The sequence below is a fragment of the Homo sapiens genome, chromosome 1 (assembly GCF_000001405.40).
Source record: "Homo sapiens chromosome 1, GRCh38.p14 Primary Assembly".
Lineage (NCBI taxonomy): Eukaryota > Metazoa > Chordata > Mammalia > Primates > Hominidae > Homo > Homo sapiens.
Genome location: NC_000001.11, coordinates 118881023 through 118898958, shown reverse-complemented (window position 1 = coordinate 118898958; position 17936 = coordinate 118881023). Strand labels below are relative to the sequence as shown.

General features: G+C 40.7%; 1 protein-coding gene across 8 annotated transcripts in view; it reads left to right on the top strand.

Moving 5' to 3' along the window:
- TBX15 (T-box transcription factor 15) overlaps positions 1 to 15912 on the top strand; it is a 106464-nt gene extending 90552 nt beyond the window's left edge. For 4 of the 8 annotated variants that reach the window (XM_047429124.1, XM_005271161.5, XM_047429135.1 and 1 more), the window contains exons 8-9: positions 7994 to 8092; positions 13443 to 15912. In XM_047429124.1, the coding sequence (XP_047285080.1) occupies positions 7994 to 8092; positions 13443 to 14227 (884 nt within the window). In that variant the 3' untranslated portion in view covers positions 14228 to 15912. The remainder of the gene's footprint in view (positions 1 to 7993; positions 8093 to 13442) is intronic. The other 4 variants (NM_152380.3, XM_047429138.1, XM_047429131.1 and 1 more) reach the window with 1 other exon arrangement.

The following is a 17936-nucleotide window of genomic DNA, read 5'->3' as shown; positions in this document are numbered from 1 at the left end:
AGCACATCTGGCCTCAGGCCAAGATATGGGTTATACCAATTCTCCTGGAATGAAGAGAACTCAGGAGCTCTGTAAATAACCAAAGCATCACCACTTGGGTAAACAAGCTGGTCCAAAGGCAGCATTTCATCTGGCACTCAAAATGCTCTCTCCCTTCCTAAGAGTGCAGTTATATATTTATAATGATGATGATATTATTATTAATATTGCTAAGCATTCACATATGCCTTGGTATTTGAAGAGATTTTTTTAATAACTTCATTTATTCCTCATGGTAGCCTTCTCAGTTTTCTTAGAATAAGAAAAGTTTCGTGATGAGCAAAATCTTAGCTCTGGACAATGGGAATAAATTGTATCAGGTCTCCAGGTGAGGAATGGGCTGCTGCAAGCCTATCTGGACCTTGCAACTTGTGTTCTTTCCTTTTTTGCTTATATAAAACAACACCCCTCTCAGTTGGTGGAATAAGTAGACTTTCCCCCCTACTGCTTTGAACTTTGTGCTTTTTATCCAATTTATAATTTTTCTTTCCTCGCAGCTCAGGTTGGGAAACCTGTGGCCAGATGGGTTGTGACTTATTTCAAATTTTCTCAGTCTTGTCTGTAGCTTTCCCAGGCATAGCACCCATATATTATATTTAACTTACCCTTTTCAGGGGAGCTTCTAACATTTTGCACACTGAATTAGGTTTGTAACCTAAATTGCTGAAATCTGTCAGGTTTTAAGATGAGTGTAGTGATTAAAAGCATAGACTCTGGAGTTAGACTAGGTCTAGGCTAGGCTCTTATCACTGATCCTTTCTAGCTTTGTGACCTTGGTCAAGTCCCTCAACTTTTCTGACACCCAGTTTTATCGTCTGCATTATTTGGAAAAGTAGAATCAAATAGAATTCTTGAATTAAATGAGATAGTGCATTTAAAATCATAGTAAGCATTTAATACAACTAGTTATCATTGTCTTCATCATCCTCATTATCTTCACCTTCAAGGCCCTTATGTCCCTGTATGTAGACACTTAAGCAAAGTTGTGTCAGGACCAAGGAATATTGCCTTTCTGACGATTAATTATTTAAAACATGATTAGACTATTCATTTTCACAGCGATCTGGTGAAGTAAGTGATCCAGAATTTCCATCTCTTTTATATATTCCTCCCTACAAAGCTGTGATTAGAAGCAGAGTCAATAGTTATTCAAGGTGTCACCATGGCTTTGAGGCCCTCACGGATGGCCATTAAGAGACAGGGGCTTAAAGAGACTCAGGAAAATCTAGGCCCCCGTCTTTGATGGTCATGAATTCTCTACATTGAGGCAATTTACTTCTATTCCTGCATGCCAGTATTCTCACCTACAAAAGAGGGATAATTTTTTGGTGTGAGGAAATTTATATAAACATGCTGTGTATACAAAAATGTGTCATTGATTTGATTTAGTTCTCTGGTGGCTTCTTTGCTTCTCTGCCCTTGCTTTACTCATTGCCTTTCCAAGCTCTAGCTAAGCAGGAGTTTGTATCATGGAGGCTGGTCGGAGAAGGTTGGCAGGGATATTGCCAGTTCCAGAGGGCAGGCATTAATGGCAACAATTGTGTTCAATGCTGTATCCCCAAGATCTACTACAGGGCCTGGCACCCAGTACGTACCCAATGAATAGTGAATGGGATCACTTGCTGGCACTGTGGCTCAGGTGGGCAGAGCCACTCTCAAACTTCTTCTTGGAGCACAACCACCTAATATGTATGTAGACATTGATAAGGAGTGATCATTGAGGGACGCCATTGGGCAGGCACAGACACAGGAAGCTTGCATGGGTTACTTAGATGTGCAGCATAGCAGGCTTCATGGTACTTATACTAAAAATTTACCAGTATGAAGGGTTATTATTGACATTTTGAAAACAATGGTTTCAAATAAACTGAACTTTCAAAACGCTTCAGTGACCCTCACTTTTATCGGAAGAGAAGAAAGAACTTGAATTATTGGATACATATGGTGATGGGATGGGGTTAGAGAAAAAGCCAGGACTCTATTAAATAGTTTAATTGGAATATATTTTTGAAATATCCATTGAAGTTGATCCAGATTCTCATTATTAAAAAATATGTGGCTTGGTTTCTTGACGTTAACAAAGGATGTAAAACCAACAACACCCATCCCCTCTTCCCTTAAGAACTAAGAGTTTCAGTGACTCTGGACAGTATCATGAATGAAGAGAAGAGACACAGCCATGCATGCTGAACTGCTTTGCATCTTAGAAGGAATAGAGAGGAATGAGCTTCTAGTGGAAACTGCAGTGGTAGGCTATTTTTTACAGCAATTCCCTTTTAATGAGGTGAGTATTGGCAGTGTTTGCACCAAACCTAAGATTGGTGCCAAATAGTGACTGACTTATCCAATTGTCCATATTACCTCATTGTTTCAGCATATGAGTATCTGTCATGTCACATAGCAGTCCTAGACAGTTTTGTGCTGCTACTGGTGAGGGTGGATCTGTCTTTCTGCATAGATGAGGTTAAGAATGCTTTTTTCATCCTGCCTTGGCTGCCATCTTTTATTTCTCTTGTCATTAAGACTCATCTGCTGATAAAACTTTGAAGAAAGCACTTAGGTAAATTCTCCACAGTTTTGCAAAAATTTAAGTCTTTTTATTTTTAAAATCACATTGAATGGAGTATTGTAAATAGTTGTTTAAGGAGAAGAATGCATGAGATTCATTATCTTCTGCCTTTGACACAAAAAAGAAACTGAGGCATGACACAGTCTAGTACAGGGGTGTCCAGTGTTTTGGCTTCCTTGCACCACATTGGAAGAAGAAAAATCGTCTTGGGCCACACATGAAATATACTAAAACTAATGATAGCCGAGGAGCTAAAAAAACTACAAAAAATCTCATAATGTTTTAAGAAAGTTTACAAATTTGTGTTGAGCTGCATTCAAAGCTATTCTTGGCTGCATGCAGCCCTTGGGCCATGGGTTGGACAAGTCTGGTCTAGTATCATATCTGTAGTTAAGTGGTGGCAGAGCTAAGTTCAGAGTACCAACGCAGATCTCTTATTTGACAGGACAGTTTCCTTTCCACCAGGTTACATTATTTTTCTTATTCTTTCTTACTACAGCTTTAATTTTCCACAAAGATTTTAGTTTGCTCTTCCTATTGATGGTTTTTATTGTTCAACAACTTGAGCATTAACTCTCAATAGGTCAATTTTTTTTTTATAAGTCAAGTATATGGTCTTCAGATGTCTTCAGTTAGACTCAAGGGTGTTTATGTGTTTGGAGAGTCCAGAGAGGCTGGAGGTTCTGGAGATGAAGATTCTACCTCAGGAATGGCTTTTGCCTGAACACTGCTAGTGACAAGGAGCAAATGAACTAACCAGGCAAGTTATGCTTGGAGAAAGTGACTGAGGAAATATAAACATAGAAGGAAAAGGAAATAAGAGTCCAGGTCAGTTATAACTAAATACAATGCAATCCTGTTGTTGTTCTGATGGATATACTTGAATAAAATCTGTGCCTCAACTTCCTCATGTATATAATGGAGCTATTTGAGTGGCCAAAACCGAGAGCTTTATCAGCAGTGACTTCAAGCTATTTGATAACTGTTGTTCTAAAAGGAATCATTCTGGACCAATGACACCAGAACTGCCAACTTTCCATCTGTGGACATGAGGGGATCCACCATTTACAAAAGCTCTCCATTCCCCAAGAGAGTTGGTGGACATCACTACCGAGTTCAGTACCATTGGGTGTTTCAGTGTTTGTCAGGCAGTTAAAGAGTTAGGATTATGAGGGTCTCTGTTGATGATTGAATTTTCATCAGTTTGACTTGTATTAGTTGAGGTTGGTTAGTGAGAGGGATCAGCTACCGATCAAGTCATACAAGTAAGATACTGGGAAAGAAGGACAATTTAGTGGACATGAGCCATTGAACTATGACGTCACTGTAATGATAAAAACATAGCTGATTTATACAGATCTCATTTATCACTGAGGTGAGGAATAATGCCCATACGTATGGCTTATCACATAGAATTTTTTTTAAAGCACTCCCTTTTTAGCTATAGGAGAGCAATATCCTAATTCTGCACTATAATCATGAAGAGCTCCTGATAGGGGGTAGGGAGCATCTCAATTCAATCCATTAAAACAAACAGTAATTGATTACATATTTTGTTTTGTCCCCGAAGTTCCTTATGCTCAGCATGTCCAAAACTGAGTTATCATCTACCTCACAGCCTGGTGCCCTCTCCATGGGGAAGGAGAACACTTGATATCCCGGAAGTTTCCCTCCCTGCCCTACCCCCATGCTCAACCATTACTAAGTTCTTAAATCTGTCCACATCTCTAACCTTCCTTGTTACCATGCCACTCTGCACTGACGTCACCTCTCACTGCATGACCTTAATGTCTTCCATAGTTTCTACATTTTCTTCCAAGCCATTCCTCATGTAGAAATGAGAATCATTTTTTTCAAAACACACATCTTTGCACCTCAACCTTCTATCTCCAGTCTGCTTAAAGCTGCTCAATGGCCACAGTTTACTTTCACCTATGAAAGACATATTCCTTAACATTGTCGCTAGACCTTGCATGTTCTGGCTTTTGCTGCCTCACCTCTAAAATAGGGATAACAACAATGAGGATTAATGAATGTAAAGTGCTTAGGAAAGAGCCTAGGATTTACTGAGTGTTCAAAAATGTTCTCTATGATCATCCTCATTATTGCTATTATTACTACTCTAGCTTCAGCCTATATCACCTCCCCTCGTTCTCTCTGTTGTTTCAGCATCACTCATCTTACTTCCCTTTCTCAAACATGGTGTGCTCTTTCCTGCCACGTTGTTCTCTTTCTCTGGAAGGCTCCTTGCTACCCACTTGCCTTCTTAGTGCTTAGTGCTATCTGTCTTTGAGATCACAGCTTAAATATGACTTCCTTGGGGAAATTCCCTGCCATCCAGAGTAGGCCAAGTATCCTTAAGGTGAGCTCTTGTTTATTTGTGTCATTCTTTCATTAATGTCTCTTATCCACATTTTTCTCACTATTTTTTTCCCGCATGATTAAATCCCTGGATCCAAACACTCCCTGTTGGTTGAGTGTATATTTAGTACTCAAATAGTGATTGAATAAGTGAATAAACTCTGCTAGGTTCTGTATCATAGGGACTAATGTCAATGTGTTTGGCAAACATTAACCAGAGACAACTTTAGGATAAAATTTGAAGGGCATGATGATTAGAAAAGAAAAAAGAAGAAAATAAGTTTTGTAAAGGATAGTGAAGAAAGTACTCAAAATTCTTTTATTTTCCTTCCTTCCCTCCCTCCCTTTCTTTCTTTCTTTTTCTTTCTCTCTCTCTTTCTTTCTTTCTTTCCTTCCTTCCTTCCTTTCTTTCTTTCCTTCCTTCCTTCTTTCCTTCCTTCCTTCCTTCCATCTTTCTTTCCTTCTTTCTTTCTTTCTTTCTTTCTTTCTTTCTTTCTTTCTTTCCTTCCTTCCTTCCTTCCTTTCTTTCCTTCCTTCCTTCTTTCCTTCCTTCCTTCCTTCCATCTTTCTTTCCTTCTTCCTTTCTTTCTTTCTTTCTTTCTTTCTTTCTTTCTTTCTTTCTTTCTTTCTTTCCTTCCTTCCTTCCTTCCTTCCTTCTTTCTTCTTTCTTTCTTTCCTTCCTTCCTTCCTTCCTTCCTTCCTTCCTTCCTTCCTTCCTTCTTCCTTTCTTTCTTCCTTTCTTTCTTTCTTTTCAACAGAGTTTTGCCCTGTCACCCAGGCTGGAGTGCAGTGGTACCATCTCGGCTCACTGTAACCTCTGCCTCCTGGGTTCAAACAATTCTCCTGCCTCAGCCTCCTGAGTAGCTGGGACTACAGGTGCACACCACCATGCCTGGCTAATTTTTGTATTTTTTGTAGAGACGTGGTTTCACCATGCTGGCCATGCTGAAACTGGTCTCAAACTCCTGACCTGAAGTGATTTGCCCACTTTGGCCTCCCAAAGTGCTGGGATTACAGGCATGAGTCACCACACCTGGCCCCCAAAATTCTTAAGTGAAGATAACAACATAGTAAGTTGGGAACAATTATTTATGGTCTCAGGAATCCATATGTCAGTGCGTATAATATGAGGAGTGAGTAAAATGACCTTGAAGCTTTAACATTAAGAAGTAAGAGTCACTTGTTCACTCATGCAGTCAATTAACATTAGCATTTCTCATGCTGTCGTGGGTAATGTTAAGTCTTCTTGGGACAGAAATAATGACAAGAATAGTAAATTAAAGTGATACACTTTGAAAGAAATAAACCCAGTAGGAGAAAAAACATGAGTATTACTGTTAGAGAAGACTACAAACTTCACTTAATTCTGGGCATCCTAATGTTATTCCCACAAGATCACACCATTGTTTTTCCTGCTTTTATTTATATATTCTTCCTTTTATGTCTTATCTAACTGCATTTCACAAACCTATCAGAGAATGGCCACTTTGACTTTGATGTCTTTAGACACTCCTCTTTTATCTTCTTACCATTTGTGGGGTTGTAATTGGTTTTTGAAATTACCTTTTTGTTTAGATTTGTGCATTTCTTTCTACTGAACTTTTAGAAAACTTAAAAAAAGAAAACAGCAGCTGTTGTTTTTCTATTCTGTACATTATCTTCCTTATTTGCCAATTTGCCAGGGACACTAATATGAAAAAATCATCTTGAAAAGTTTCCAGCATTTTTACTTCATTGTTTAGCCTGTTCTTATTGATCAGAATGAGGCCAGCAACCATTTAAGAGATTATGTATTTTTCTAAAGTAAAGTCACTATCTTATTAGATATTTTTTTTACAGAGCTAGATGTCTATTTACGTAGCTGAAATCCCTTGTTCCTACTCATAGGTAATTTATCATGTCTTAGGAAGGAATCATCCATAGCTTCCATTTGACAAAGTGGTTCATAGTCTAGTCCTACCATTCTCATTTTTATTTCTCTCTCTTCCAGCTTTATCTTAATATTCCTACCCCTTCAGATTCATAGTGGAATTACCTATAGAATTAGGGATGTATATCAATTAGGATTCTTACTGTTGTAAATAAAATAAAACCCAAATGGCAAAGCAAAAAAGAAACTCATTGGGTCATGAAACTGAAATGACTCAAATAGGCAGTTTTAGGCAAAGCTTAATGTAGGCACCCATAAAAGATCATCAACTCCATTTCTCAACTTTGCTCTCTATCATCCTGACTTTATTCTCAGTTTCCCCATGGTATAAACATGCTTACCAGAACCCCTGGCCCTACATATTTTGAGGTTTAAATCTGATGGGAAAAGGCATGTACCTTTCTCCTAAGATTTCTACCAAAATCTCATTGAGTATAATTGTCTTTAATTGAGTCATCTCCATTTTAATTACTGTGGTAGGGGGGAATATGATGCTTTGATTGTCCAGGCCTGAGTCACATGCCTTCCCTGAAGGTAGGGCTAAGGCAGTGAGAGTGGGAGAAAGTGTGTAATAGTGGGAAAACTAGATACTGTTGCCAGAAAGAAGCAGATGAATTCTAAATGAAGATAACAGATGCATGCTGCAGCAAGGAAGGCAGTAAAACAAGTAGGGGAGAAAACAATTAAGTTAATGGAAAGTGAAGAAATGCTGCAGTCCACCTAAGGAATGTGGTAGATACAAAATAGGACCATCTAAGAAGCGGAGACACTCAGAGCACAGAGTACCAATGTGCAAAATGAGAATTGGATGAATATATTCAAAGCAATTTTAAAGAGAAGGAGTTTAGGTCTGTGCATACCTTTAACTTTTATGGAGAATGATTCACTAGGAGTCTTTCTAAGATTGAAACCACGCAATTCCTATTAGCACTCTAATGTTCATGTTTGCATTATGAGGATGGTACTCATCTCAACTAAGTAATTCTTTTGTTGAGATGAACAGTGCTGTGCTCATTAAACTTTACGATCTCTGGGTTTATTCTCTGGGATCAGTCTATAGGGTGCTGATATTTTACCTTTTACCTGTTTGAAAGCCTCAAAGAAGACTTCTCAAGGATACACAGTGAATCAGCACTCCTCAGAGACAGATGCCATTGAATTATACGAGAGAAGAGTCTGGCTCATGGAACGAAGTAATTACATGGAAATTTATTCTTTACTAGCCTAGATGGGGTTTTGCCTTACTGTTTTTCAATTTTGGGGGAGGAGGGAGAAAAGCACAGCAAAATAAATTGAAAAAGAAACTGTATGTGAAAGCCCTTATATTACAATCTGGAAATGATCAATTTAGAGATGCAAAAGTCAGCAGGTTTAGTATTCAGGATTTTCATGGTCACGTTTAACTTGTCTTTATGGTAAAAACAAGTATATTCTAGGTTATTGTCCTCATACGGAATTACTGCTAAACGTATCCTTTTTGGTTATTTTGGCCATTAGCCTTGGATATTGGAGCAATTTAATGTCATATATGAATTTTCATGTGTGTCACCTCATATTGGCCCATGGGTAAAATAGGATGAAGGGAGCTGGTGCTGTAGGAGATTGATCCTACAGATCCTACAGATGCTACAGAACTCCTGAAAGTTTTAAGCTACTTAGGGCATTATATTTTAATCACTTCTCAGAAGTGAATTAAGACCTCTAAGGATAGTGGGAAAAACACCAGTCTAGCTATTTGTGTTCTGTCAATCCCACTTTGCTTCATTTGAGGAAAGATGGAGACACGGGCAGCCATTCTTGTCCTGAACTGGAAGTGAGGGAGGAGGGACAGATAATTCAGAGAGGAACCAGAGTTAGGTTAGCCTTTGGGAATATGGCACAGGTAGGGCCTTAGCTGCTACCTGGCCTAGTGCTCCATCATTCACAGTGATGGAGGTTCCTCTAGCATGTACAACAAACATGTAGCTGTTGTGACATAATGCTCATCAGGGTGGGGAGAGGCCAAGATGCTTAGCTCCACAGACAGAGGCCAACACCGCAGAGCCATTCTCATTAGAACCCAAGTTCCTTTCTCCTTCCTTCACTCTTCTCTCATAGAAGAGAATAGTTAATGCTTTTGTGCTGGGCTAGGTGCAGTGGCTCACGCCTGTAATCCCAATGCTTTGAGGCTGAGACAGGAGGATTTCTTGAGCCCAGGAGTTTAAGACCAGCCTGAGCAACATAGTGAGACCCTATCTCTACTAAATTTTTTTTTTTTAAATTAATGCCTATGTGCCAGATACAGTTATGAGCACTTTGTAATGTATACTATTATATCTTACCTATTTCTCAAAACATCTCTACAAAATAGATATTGGCAATTCCTTAAAATGTAAAAGGCTTGGAGTTGCTAACTTGCTAAGGTTCTGTCCTTAATCAGTAAGACATCTGGGATTGGAACTGGGTTTTTTGGACCCTATAGAACACACTCATCCATTAAATAAAATTTCTGTCAAGATGCTCAGAGCACTCGGGACCTGGCAGGTACAGAGGGGAGGAGGGCACAGGGAAGAGAGTCATGCTTTGCTTTGAGAGGCAGCTCTGACCCTCCTGTATCAGTATGGCCTGGCCTGGACTGGTGTCCCACCCTGCCCTAGCTTTTCTGTGATGAGAATCTCTAGTCAGCCAAGTGTTGTAAATGATCAAAGAGGATGGGCTCCCTCTTTGTGCTCATTTTGCACTTGGCTGGAAATTCCAATCTTGTTTAACATTCGACAAGCTGTTAGATCATAGGAGGAGAAAGACTTGTCAGTATCTCGGTTTGTTCTCTGCAAAATGAATACCATAGTCTTCTCTTTCTATGGGAACTTTGAAAAATTGCTGTTATCTGTATTGAGTACTTTATGTTCACAAGAGCATTTCTTCAAAGTGCATGGAAGCAAGGTGACCTTTTCTTGGACAGCCTTGCCCCTGCCTCCTTCAAACACTAGTTCATATGGAGGCTTCACCCACTCAAGCTCAGCAGGCCACCAAGTCTCATTTCCAGTGAATGTCATTTAAAAGCCCAAGCAAGCTGACTACAAACTTTTTAACATTTGCCTCTCATCTGGTCAGCAGAAATCCCTGTAACTTGTTAATAGTTCCACCCCCCACCTTTTTTTTTTTTTCTTTTTGTAGTGAAACCAGTTGAGGCCTTAAATCAGTACCATTCCTTCCATCTTGGGCCATCAGAGAAAACCATTTAGAGTTGTAGGAAGTCATCTGCTCCATCTTGCACTTCCTGCTGCAGGGCTAGGACCAGTGCCTGATAGAACATACCTGTGACAGGACAGTATGACATGCTGAACAGGTGGTCTCCTCAGGGACCACATAAACACCAGATCAGGGAGAGCAAGAATGAACTTTCAAAGAGAAGTGACCAGATAACTATCCCATAAAACAAATCTCTTTACAGCTGGAGTCAGGTTTCTCCATTTGTGCCATAGCCTTAATTTCAGAGAAGCTCATAGCATTTGGAGTGGAAAATAAGGAAAATGTGTAGGATGCCTCAAAGAGGAACCACACGCTTGAAATGAATCCTTGAGATTTCTGCAAGGCACAGAAGGCCTGGCCATTCAGCTGTATAGAAACAAGACAGATGAGATGTTCTGCCTCCTCCTTCTAGAATCTTCTCCTGCCAGAGATCCTTCATTATATCAAAATAATTCCATGGAAAGTACTTGTTGTTGGCGATTCACACTTTATATTATTTGAAACCTCAGTTACAGATATGCTGAGAAGGACAGAAACTGAGGCCCACTGGTTCAAGCCCCTGATTTCACAGCTAATGAGAATGAAGAGGTGGCCTGCATTGCTAGTGGTCATGAGCTGGACAGAGGTTAATAGGCCTAGAATCAGGCTCAGGGCTCTTTCCGACATGGCCAGCTGCTGTCTTCCTTCTCTCAGTGGTATTTACAATGTTAGCCTTGTCTCAAATTGTGGAATAAAAATCATTTTACTTTTCTTAAAGGATTTTAAGTTGAGTATTAGAAAGGAGGAAGGAGAAGTTTTGAAATGTCTCTAAAATCAGCAGCTATTTATATCTAAATACAATTCTTCCTTGAAGGTTCATTGGGGGGAATTCTTTTGAAATTCTTTCGTTATTAGTTAGGCTTTGTCAAAATTTACCTCTGAAGAAACTATTATAATAACAACAGCCAAATTTGTACTTCTATAGCCAGCACTACTACCTATGCCCATGGATGTAAGATGAACGCTTTTTTTTTTCCTGCTAAAAATTAACTTTCGGTTCCTCTTTGAGGGCATCTGTCTCTTAATTGACACATCTGGGACCCCTGTGTCCTTAGCACACTGTGGATGGTTTCTTTGTATTCCAGTGTCTCTGGAATCCTGCTTTTTTTTTTTTTTTTGAGAGTTTTGCTCTTGTTGCCCAGGCCAGCGTGCAATGGCACTATCTTGGCTCACTGCAGCCTCCGCCTCCTGGGCTCAAGAGATTCTCCTGCCTCAGCCTCCCAAGTAGCTGGTATTACAGGCGCCCACCACCACACTCAGCTAATTTTTGTATTTTTAGTAGAGACGGGGTTTCACCATGTAGGCCAGGCTGGTTTTGAACTCCTGACCTCAAGTGATCCACCTGCCTTGGCCTCCCAAAGTGCTAGGATTACAGGCATGAGCCAGTGTGCCCAACCCCTGCTAGTTTTTATAACATTTTCTTCACTGAGAAAAACCTTATTCCTGCTCTTTTATACCTAAAGTGCCCTTTACCCTTTTATAATGCTCAGCTTCTAAGAGTCCCAAAATGAGTGGGTAGGTGATCTAAAGGATATTACATTCCTTGGGGGAATCACAGCTCTTGACAATGCTGGGAAACTCCTAACCTTGCTGTGAAGGAGGAAGTTACATCACGGAAGATTCCCTATGGAAGACAAAGCAGCTGCTCTTTCCAGAATTCAAATAAAGGGCCCCGCAGCCCTAGCACTCACCCATGTCTTTAACTTCCATTGGATGAGACAGGAGGCAGATGCTGCACTGCTGCTTCCTGACTTTGGGAAAGAGGAGGCTCGTAAAGGTCATTTTTGGCCTTCTTAAATTATCTGAGAACACACTGAAGGAGGTTGGATTGAACTGGTCCTCAGTCTGTCGGTGCATCATCCACCTGTCTAGCTCTAACATTCACACATCATAAGATCAACTCGTTCAAATACAGATTTAGGGACTTTTGGAAATGAAAGGAATCTGGAGTTCCTCTAACCCAAAGTGTGGTCTCTGGACCATCACCTGAGAACTTGTTGGAAATGCAAATTCTTAGGCCCCACCCCAGACTTACAGAATCAGAGACTCTAGGGATGGAGTCAGCAATCTATGCTTTAACAAGCCATCTAGCTGATTCTCATACACACTCAAGTTTAGGAAAGACTATTCTGAGTACTTAGAAATGAGGAATTTGGGTTGTATGATTGGTTCTTAAGCCACACTACACATCTGGGGGAGCTTTTAAAACAATACTGATGTGGAGGTTCCATGCCCAGAAACTTTCCTTTAGTTCATCCGAGGTAGGATCCTGGAACGTCAGCATTTCTTTTAAAAGCTGCCAGGTCCTCTATGCCTGAGAACCGCTGATCTAAGTTAATTCCTCATCTCTAGATGAAGAAACTGTAACCTGCAGAGGGTAAGTGATGTGCCTAAGGTTACCTGGGCAGTTAGTGTGGCAGAGTTGTGAGCAGACCCAGATCTCCTGACTCTCAGGTCACTTTAAGGCCTTTTTAGCTTCTTGTTCTGATAAATATTAAAACTCCAAAGGCTCCATTTACAGTCTTTATTCCAGTCTCTGAGAATGGACATGATCCTATAAAAGGAGATCAGCAGAGCCTCTGGTTCATAATGATTTTGTTTTGGGTTAGCCCTGCTTTATTCTAATCTAGCTCTTATAATTGTGTTCCCAATGTCTTTTATGTGATGCAACTTCAATCTCATACCCCAGGCTCCACTGCTCTGCACCCCCAGGCCTCAATTTTGACTTGGCACTGTCTTCCATTACCCCATTTCCTCTGTGATTAGGGTCCCGCGTTGGTGTCCTGCATGTTTGGCTGGAAGACTAAAAATGGCAAAGTAGGCAACAGCCTTTGAATAAAATACATATTTAATGCATTTCCATTAAGAATGGGAAAAGCTGAGCTAGTGGATTTTAATGCTGACATCAGAGGTCTTATTAGAAAGTGAATTTGATGGTGAGAAATGGCAACGTGAATCTTGGAAGGTTTATTGTTATTTTTATACAAAGGACTTACTAAGGCTCTTACAGAGAAAACAAACAAAAGAGTTTAGTGTTGTTTTTGATCCTTCTGGAGTGTGTGTGTGTGTGTGTGTGAGAGACTGTATGACTGTGTATATGTCCACAGGTGGAATCGCTTAGCATAGGTCTGCTGAGTTAAGAGGAAAAATGGTTCTGTAAAAATCAGCCCTATCTTGGACATTTGAAGGCACCTCCTGTATGGCTTGCATGTGACTTAGGCAGACTCATCTTAAAAGACTCTGTCTCAATAGTATTCACGTTTTATTTTTCAGGAGGCAGCACAGGCACTTCCCCAACCACCTCCAGCACTGGGACACCATCCCCTTCGGCTTCTTCTCATCTTTTATCTCCATCCTGTTCTCCTCCAACTTTTCATCTGGCCCCCAACACTTTCAATGTGGGCTGCCGAGAAAGCCAGCTGTGTAATCTAAACCTCTCTGATTATCCACCATGTGCCCGAAGCAACATGGCTGCCTTGCAGAGCTACCCAGGGCTGAGTGACAGTGGCTACAACAGGCTTCAGAGTGGCACCACTTCAGCCACTCAGCCCTCTGAAACCTTCATGCCTCAGAGGACTCCATCCCTGATCTCAGGAATACCAACTCCTCCCTCGTTGCCTGGCAACAGCAAGATGGAAGCCTACGGTGGCCAGCTGGGGTCCTTTCCCACTTCCCAGTTTCAGTATGTCATGCAGGCAGGCAATGCTGCCTCCAGCTCCTCATCACCACACATGTTCGGGGGCAGCCACATGCAGCAGAGCTCCTACAATGCCTTCTCCCTTCACAACCCTTACAACCTGTATGGATACAATTTCCCCACTTCCCCTAGGCTAGCTGCAAGCCCGGAAAAACTGAGCGCCTCTCAAAGCACTTTACTCTGTTCTTCTCCTTCCAACGGGGCCTTTGGAGAGAGGCAGTACCTGCCGTCAGGGATGGAGCACAGCATGCACATGATTAGCCCTTCACCCAATAACCAACAGGCAACCAACACTTGTGATGGCCGGCAGTATGGGGCAGTTCCAGGCTCCTCCTCCCAGATGTCCGTGCACATGGTTTAAAGGCCAGTCCAAACACCACGGAGCATTTGGCAATCAAGGCCCCAGAGTCTCCGTGGTCAGATCCTCCTCTTTGGGAGTCCAGTGTCTTTGAAAAACAGGAACCGTGTTTTTTTTTTTTTTTTTTTTCTGGCCGAAGACATATACCCAAGAACAAGAGATACCTTTAAGCCAGTGAAGGATACTTGCGATAGAATCATCCGCAACTCAGTGGCCATTCTTCTGCCTTCCCAGACCTTAGTTTTATAAAGCATTGTCTGTTCCAGAGTGGCCTTTGAAGAGACTGAATAATCACTTCGTCATAATGTTAAGGGAGATGCTAGTGTGTGGCAGCCATGAAAAGTTACACATACACACCCACATACAGACAGACCTACCTATACATACGTGCACACACACATACATATTCATACACAATTCATACACATGCAATCATACATGCACACTGACTCTGAACTGGGTGAACTCTGTGGAGGGAGGCCCAGAATGGGTGCTTTCACCAAGAATTTGTCTGTGTACAACTCTAGATGGAGTGGGCCAGCAGTAGCTGCCAGTCTTTCTCCCCTGCAGCTTCCTCTGCTTCTGGAATGAACCATGTATCCTGGAGACCCTCCCAATGGATGAGAGTGGAAAGACATCAGTACAACTGGACTTGGCTTCCGGAAAAAGATTGCTTTTGAACTTTGGCTCTCTTCACTTGTATGCTATCATTGATATTCCCAGTGGTGCCCGTGGAAAGAGGGAGAAAGAGAAGCTGAACAGGAGAAAGACAAACAGAAAGAATAGAGAACAGGAACGAGGTGGAGAGCAAGACTGACAGAGAAAGTGTGAGCAATGATGAGAATTTTAATTCACCAAGGAGACGTGTTTTTGGTTTGTCCCCCCAAACCCCGCCCGCCCCACTACAGGTTATGGAAAGAATCATGGCATTACTGAGGAGTAAACCTCTCTGGCACACTGAGCATGGTCAGGGCATTGGTCAGAGGGACAGAGCAAGGAATGCATCCTGAGCCCACAGCTTTGACCACTGTGATCCAGAAGAGAGGTGCACTACGTGGGAAGTGCTGATTCCACAGCATGCAGCCTGGTAGGGGAAGGAAAATAAAAGGGTGTGAAGAAGGAATAGTTTTATAATCTCGGAAGATGATACCAAGAGCAGAGGCAACAAATAGAGGCCTGGCCTCCAGGTGCCGGATCCAGACACCTGACCTAGAATGCCTGCCCGCTATCCCTGTGGCAGGAAATATCCCCTCATGTCCCAGGGAATTGCAGATGGGTCTTCTATACCCTTCTACCTGCCCTTAGATCTCCATTTTTATCAAATAGTACATTGCATTTTGAAGTTTTGGGTTTTGTCCTTCATCTTTCCCTTTCCCTTCAAATCTTTTAATGGTAAGAAAGCAAGTGAAGCTTGGTGCAAGCTAAAATTTTTAAATGGTGTGGAAATGCAAATAATACCAAGTAAAATAATACAGATATTATTAAAGTTTCTGGTTTTGAGGTGTTGTAGATAAATGTATTTATGTGCCTAGTGGGGAATCCAATATTATGAATATGAAAAAGGGGGCAATAAAAGGGTATGTAAAATATGTATGAAGAAAAGGTGTACAAAAATTTGCCCTTATGCACGGAACTCTGTTTCTAAGTGCCAAGCACAGAAAGCCGCTAAATAAAATCTTTGCAATTGTTTTCTGCATGTTTGTTCATACAGAAAAATCAAATAACAGCCTTGTGCATTTTCATCGTGCATTACAGTGAGTATAGAAGTTATATATATATTACTCTATGTGATTTTTATATAGGCCCCATGAAGTGAATATTAGCATCCTTTTATAAGTAGTAACTGCATTCCAGAGAGATTGAATGAAATTTGTAGCATTATCCAGCCTGTCACAGAGGGAACGAGGACTTGAAACCAGATCTTCTGACTCTAATGGGATTTTTGCCTTCATATTAGCTGCAGAAACCTGTGTGAGGCTAATAGTAATTGTCATTGTTACTGTGTGCCACCTGATACTACATCATGTGTTTTACGTGATTATCTTATCCTCCCACAATTCTGTGAGATAGGTAACATTTGAATCCTCATTTTATAGATCCAGTAACGAGCTCATAAAATGTTAAATATTTGACCAAGTGGGGAGCTGGCAATCTGACCTTAGGGTCTGTGCAATTAGCACTGTCATTCAGCAGTACCACGAGGCACTTGGACAATCAGGAAAGAAGACATATCTTAAGGGATTGAGGTGAGAGTGCCTCTGGATTTTGCTTGGTATATTGAACAATAAGTATGTACTATCCTCCTTGAATGCATCACTGCAGCATGGGGAGAGTGGTTTTGAGTTGTCATGCACCAACTGACAACTTAGACTAATAAAGAGGCTAGGACTATGCCATTTACAAGAACTTTCATATATTATCTCACTGGAGCCTCACAATAACCATGAAAGGTGGACAGGCCAGGAAGTATTGTTTTGCAAATGAAGAAGTAAAAGATAAACTTTGTGACCTGCCCATTCTTAAGTGGCTGGGAAGCAGCAGAGCCAGGACTTGAAACCTCTTGCTCTTGCCCCTACTCCAGACTGTTTCCTGGTGGACAGTTACACTGGTTGCTCACTGACCCATTTCATCAGGGTTTGATTTGGTGGGCTCAGGTTGCCAACCACCACAGCCATTCACTGGAAATGGAGGTTGGTTTGGGAGAGCAAAAACCTTATTCATTGCTCTGGTTTTATAAATAACTGCAGAGGGTGGCATGCTAGTTAATTCCATTAGCCATCAGATCATTGCCAAAATAGCTGGACAATGACTGACTGAGTACCTCCACGGATTGTAGGCTCTCTGGGAATGACATGCCTCAAAACTTAGAAAACCACTCCTATTTGGAAACCTTGCATCACCCCTTGGTTTCATAATGGTATAACAAAAACAACTACATGTGAAGCTTACGGTTATTATTATTACTTTTTAATTTAGCAGCATACCAAACATTGTTCACTGATCTAACACCCTTTGAGGTTTGGGGTAATAGATAATCATAGTATGCCAATCAGAAAACTTGACATAAAAATCTCCATATTTTCACCCAATAGTAAGAATAATAATTTCAATAATCATTTAGAATATTAAGTACAGAACATTTTTGTAATTTGGGTTAATTAGAACAATCCAAGTTAGTTACATCTGAATTATGGCATATGTTTCCATGTGTACCTGAAGAAGTAATAAAAATGTTTTTTAAAAGACAAACTGGATAAAGAATTGTGAAGAATATGCTCTACGCAATTCTCTTTCATGAAATAGTGAGCATTCATTGTAATTGGCATAATGATTACACAAAGGGGTGTTTACTAGAAGGATTATTCTTCTATAGTCTAAGGTGCTCCACAATTGCTCATTTTTCTGGGGAAAGGCTATCTTATTCATCTTTGCATCCTCAATAGCTAGGACAGTTCCTGATCTATTATAGAATCTCAATACATACTTATTGTTTAATTTGTTGACCAAAGCCTTTTTTTAAGGATAAGAAATGGTTGCATGGCTAAATAATATTATTTACTCCAAGTTAAAGCTACCTAAATTAACAAAGGTTTATTGTTCTTCATATAGTATTCTGTAATAGATTAGTGTAAATGTAAATAGTAGCTAGCAAGCATCCGTTATACATAAGGAAGAGTAAAAATCACACCATGGTTTCTTTCTTGAAAGGGCT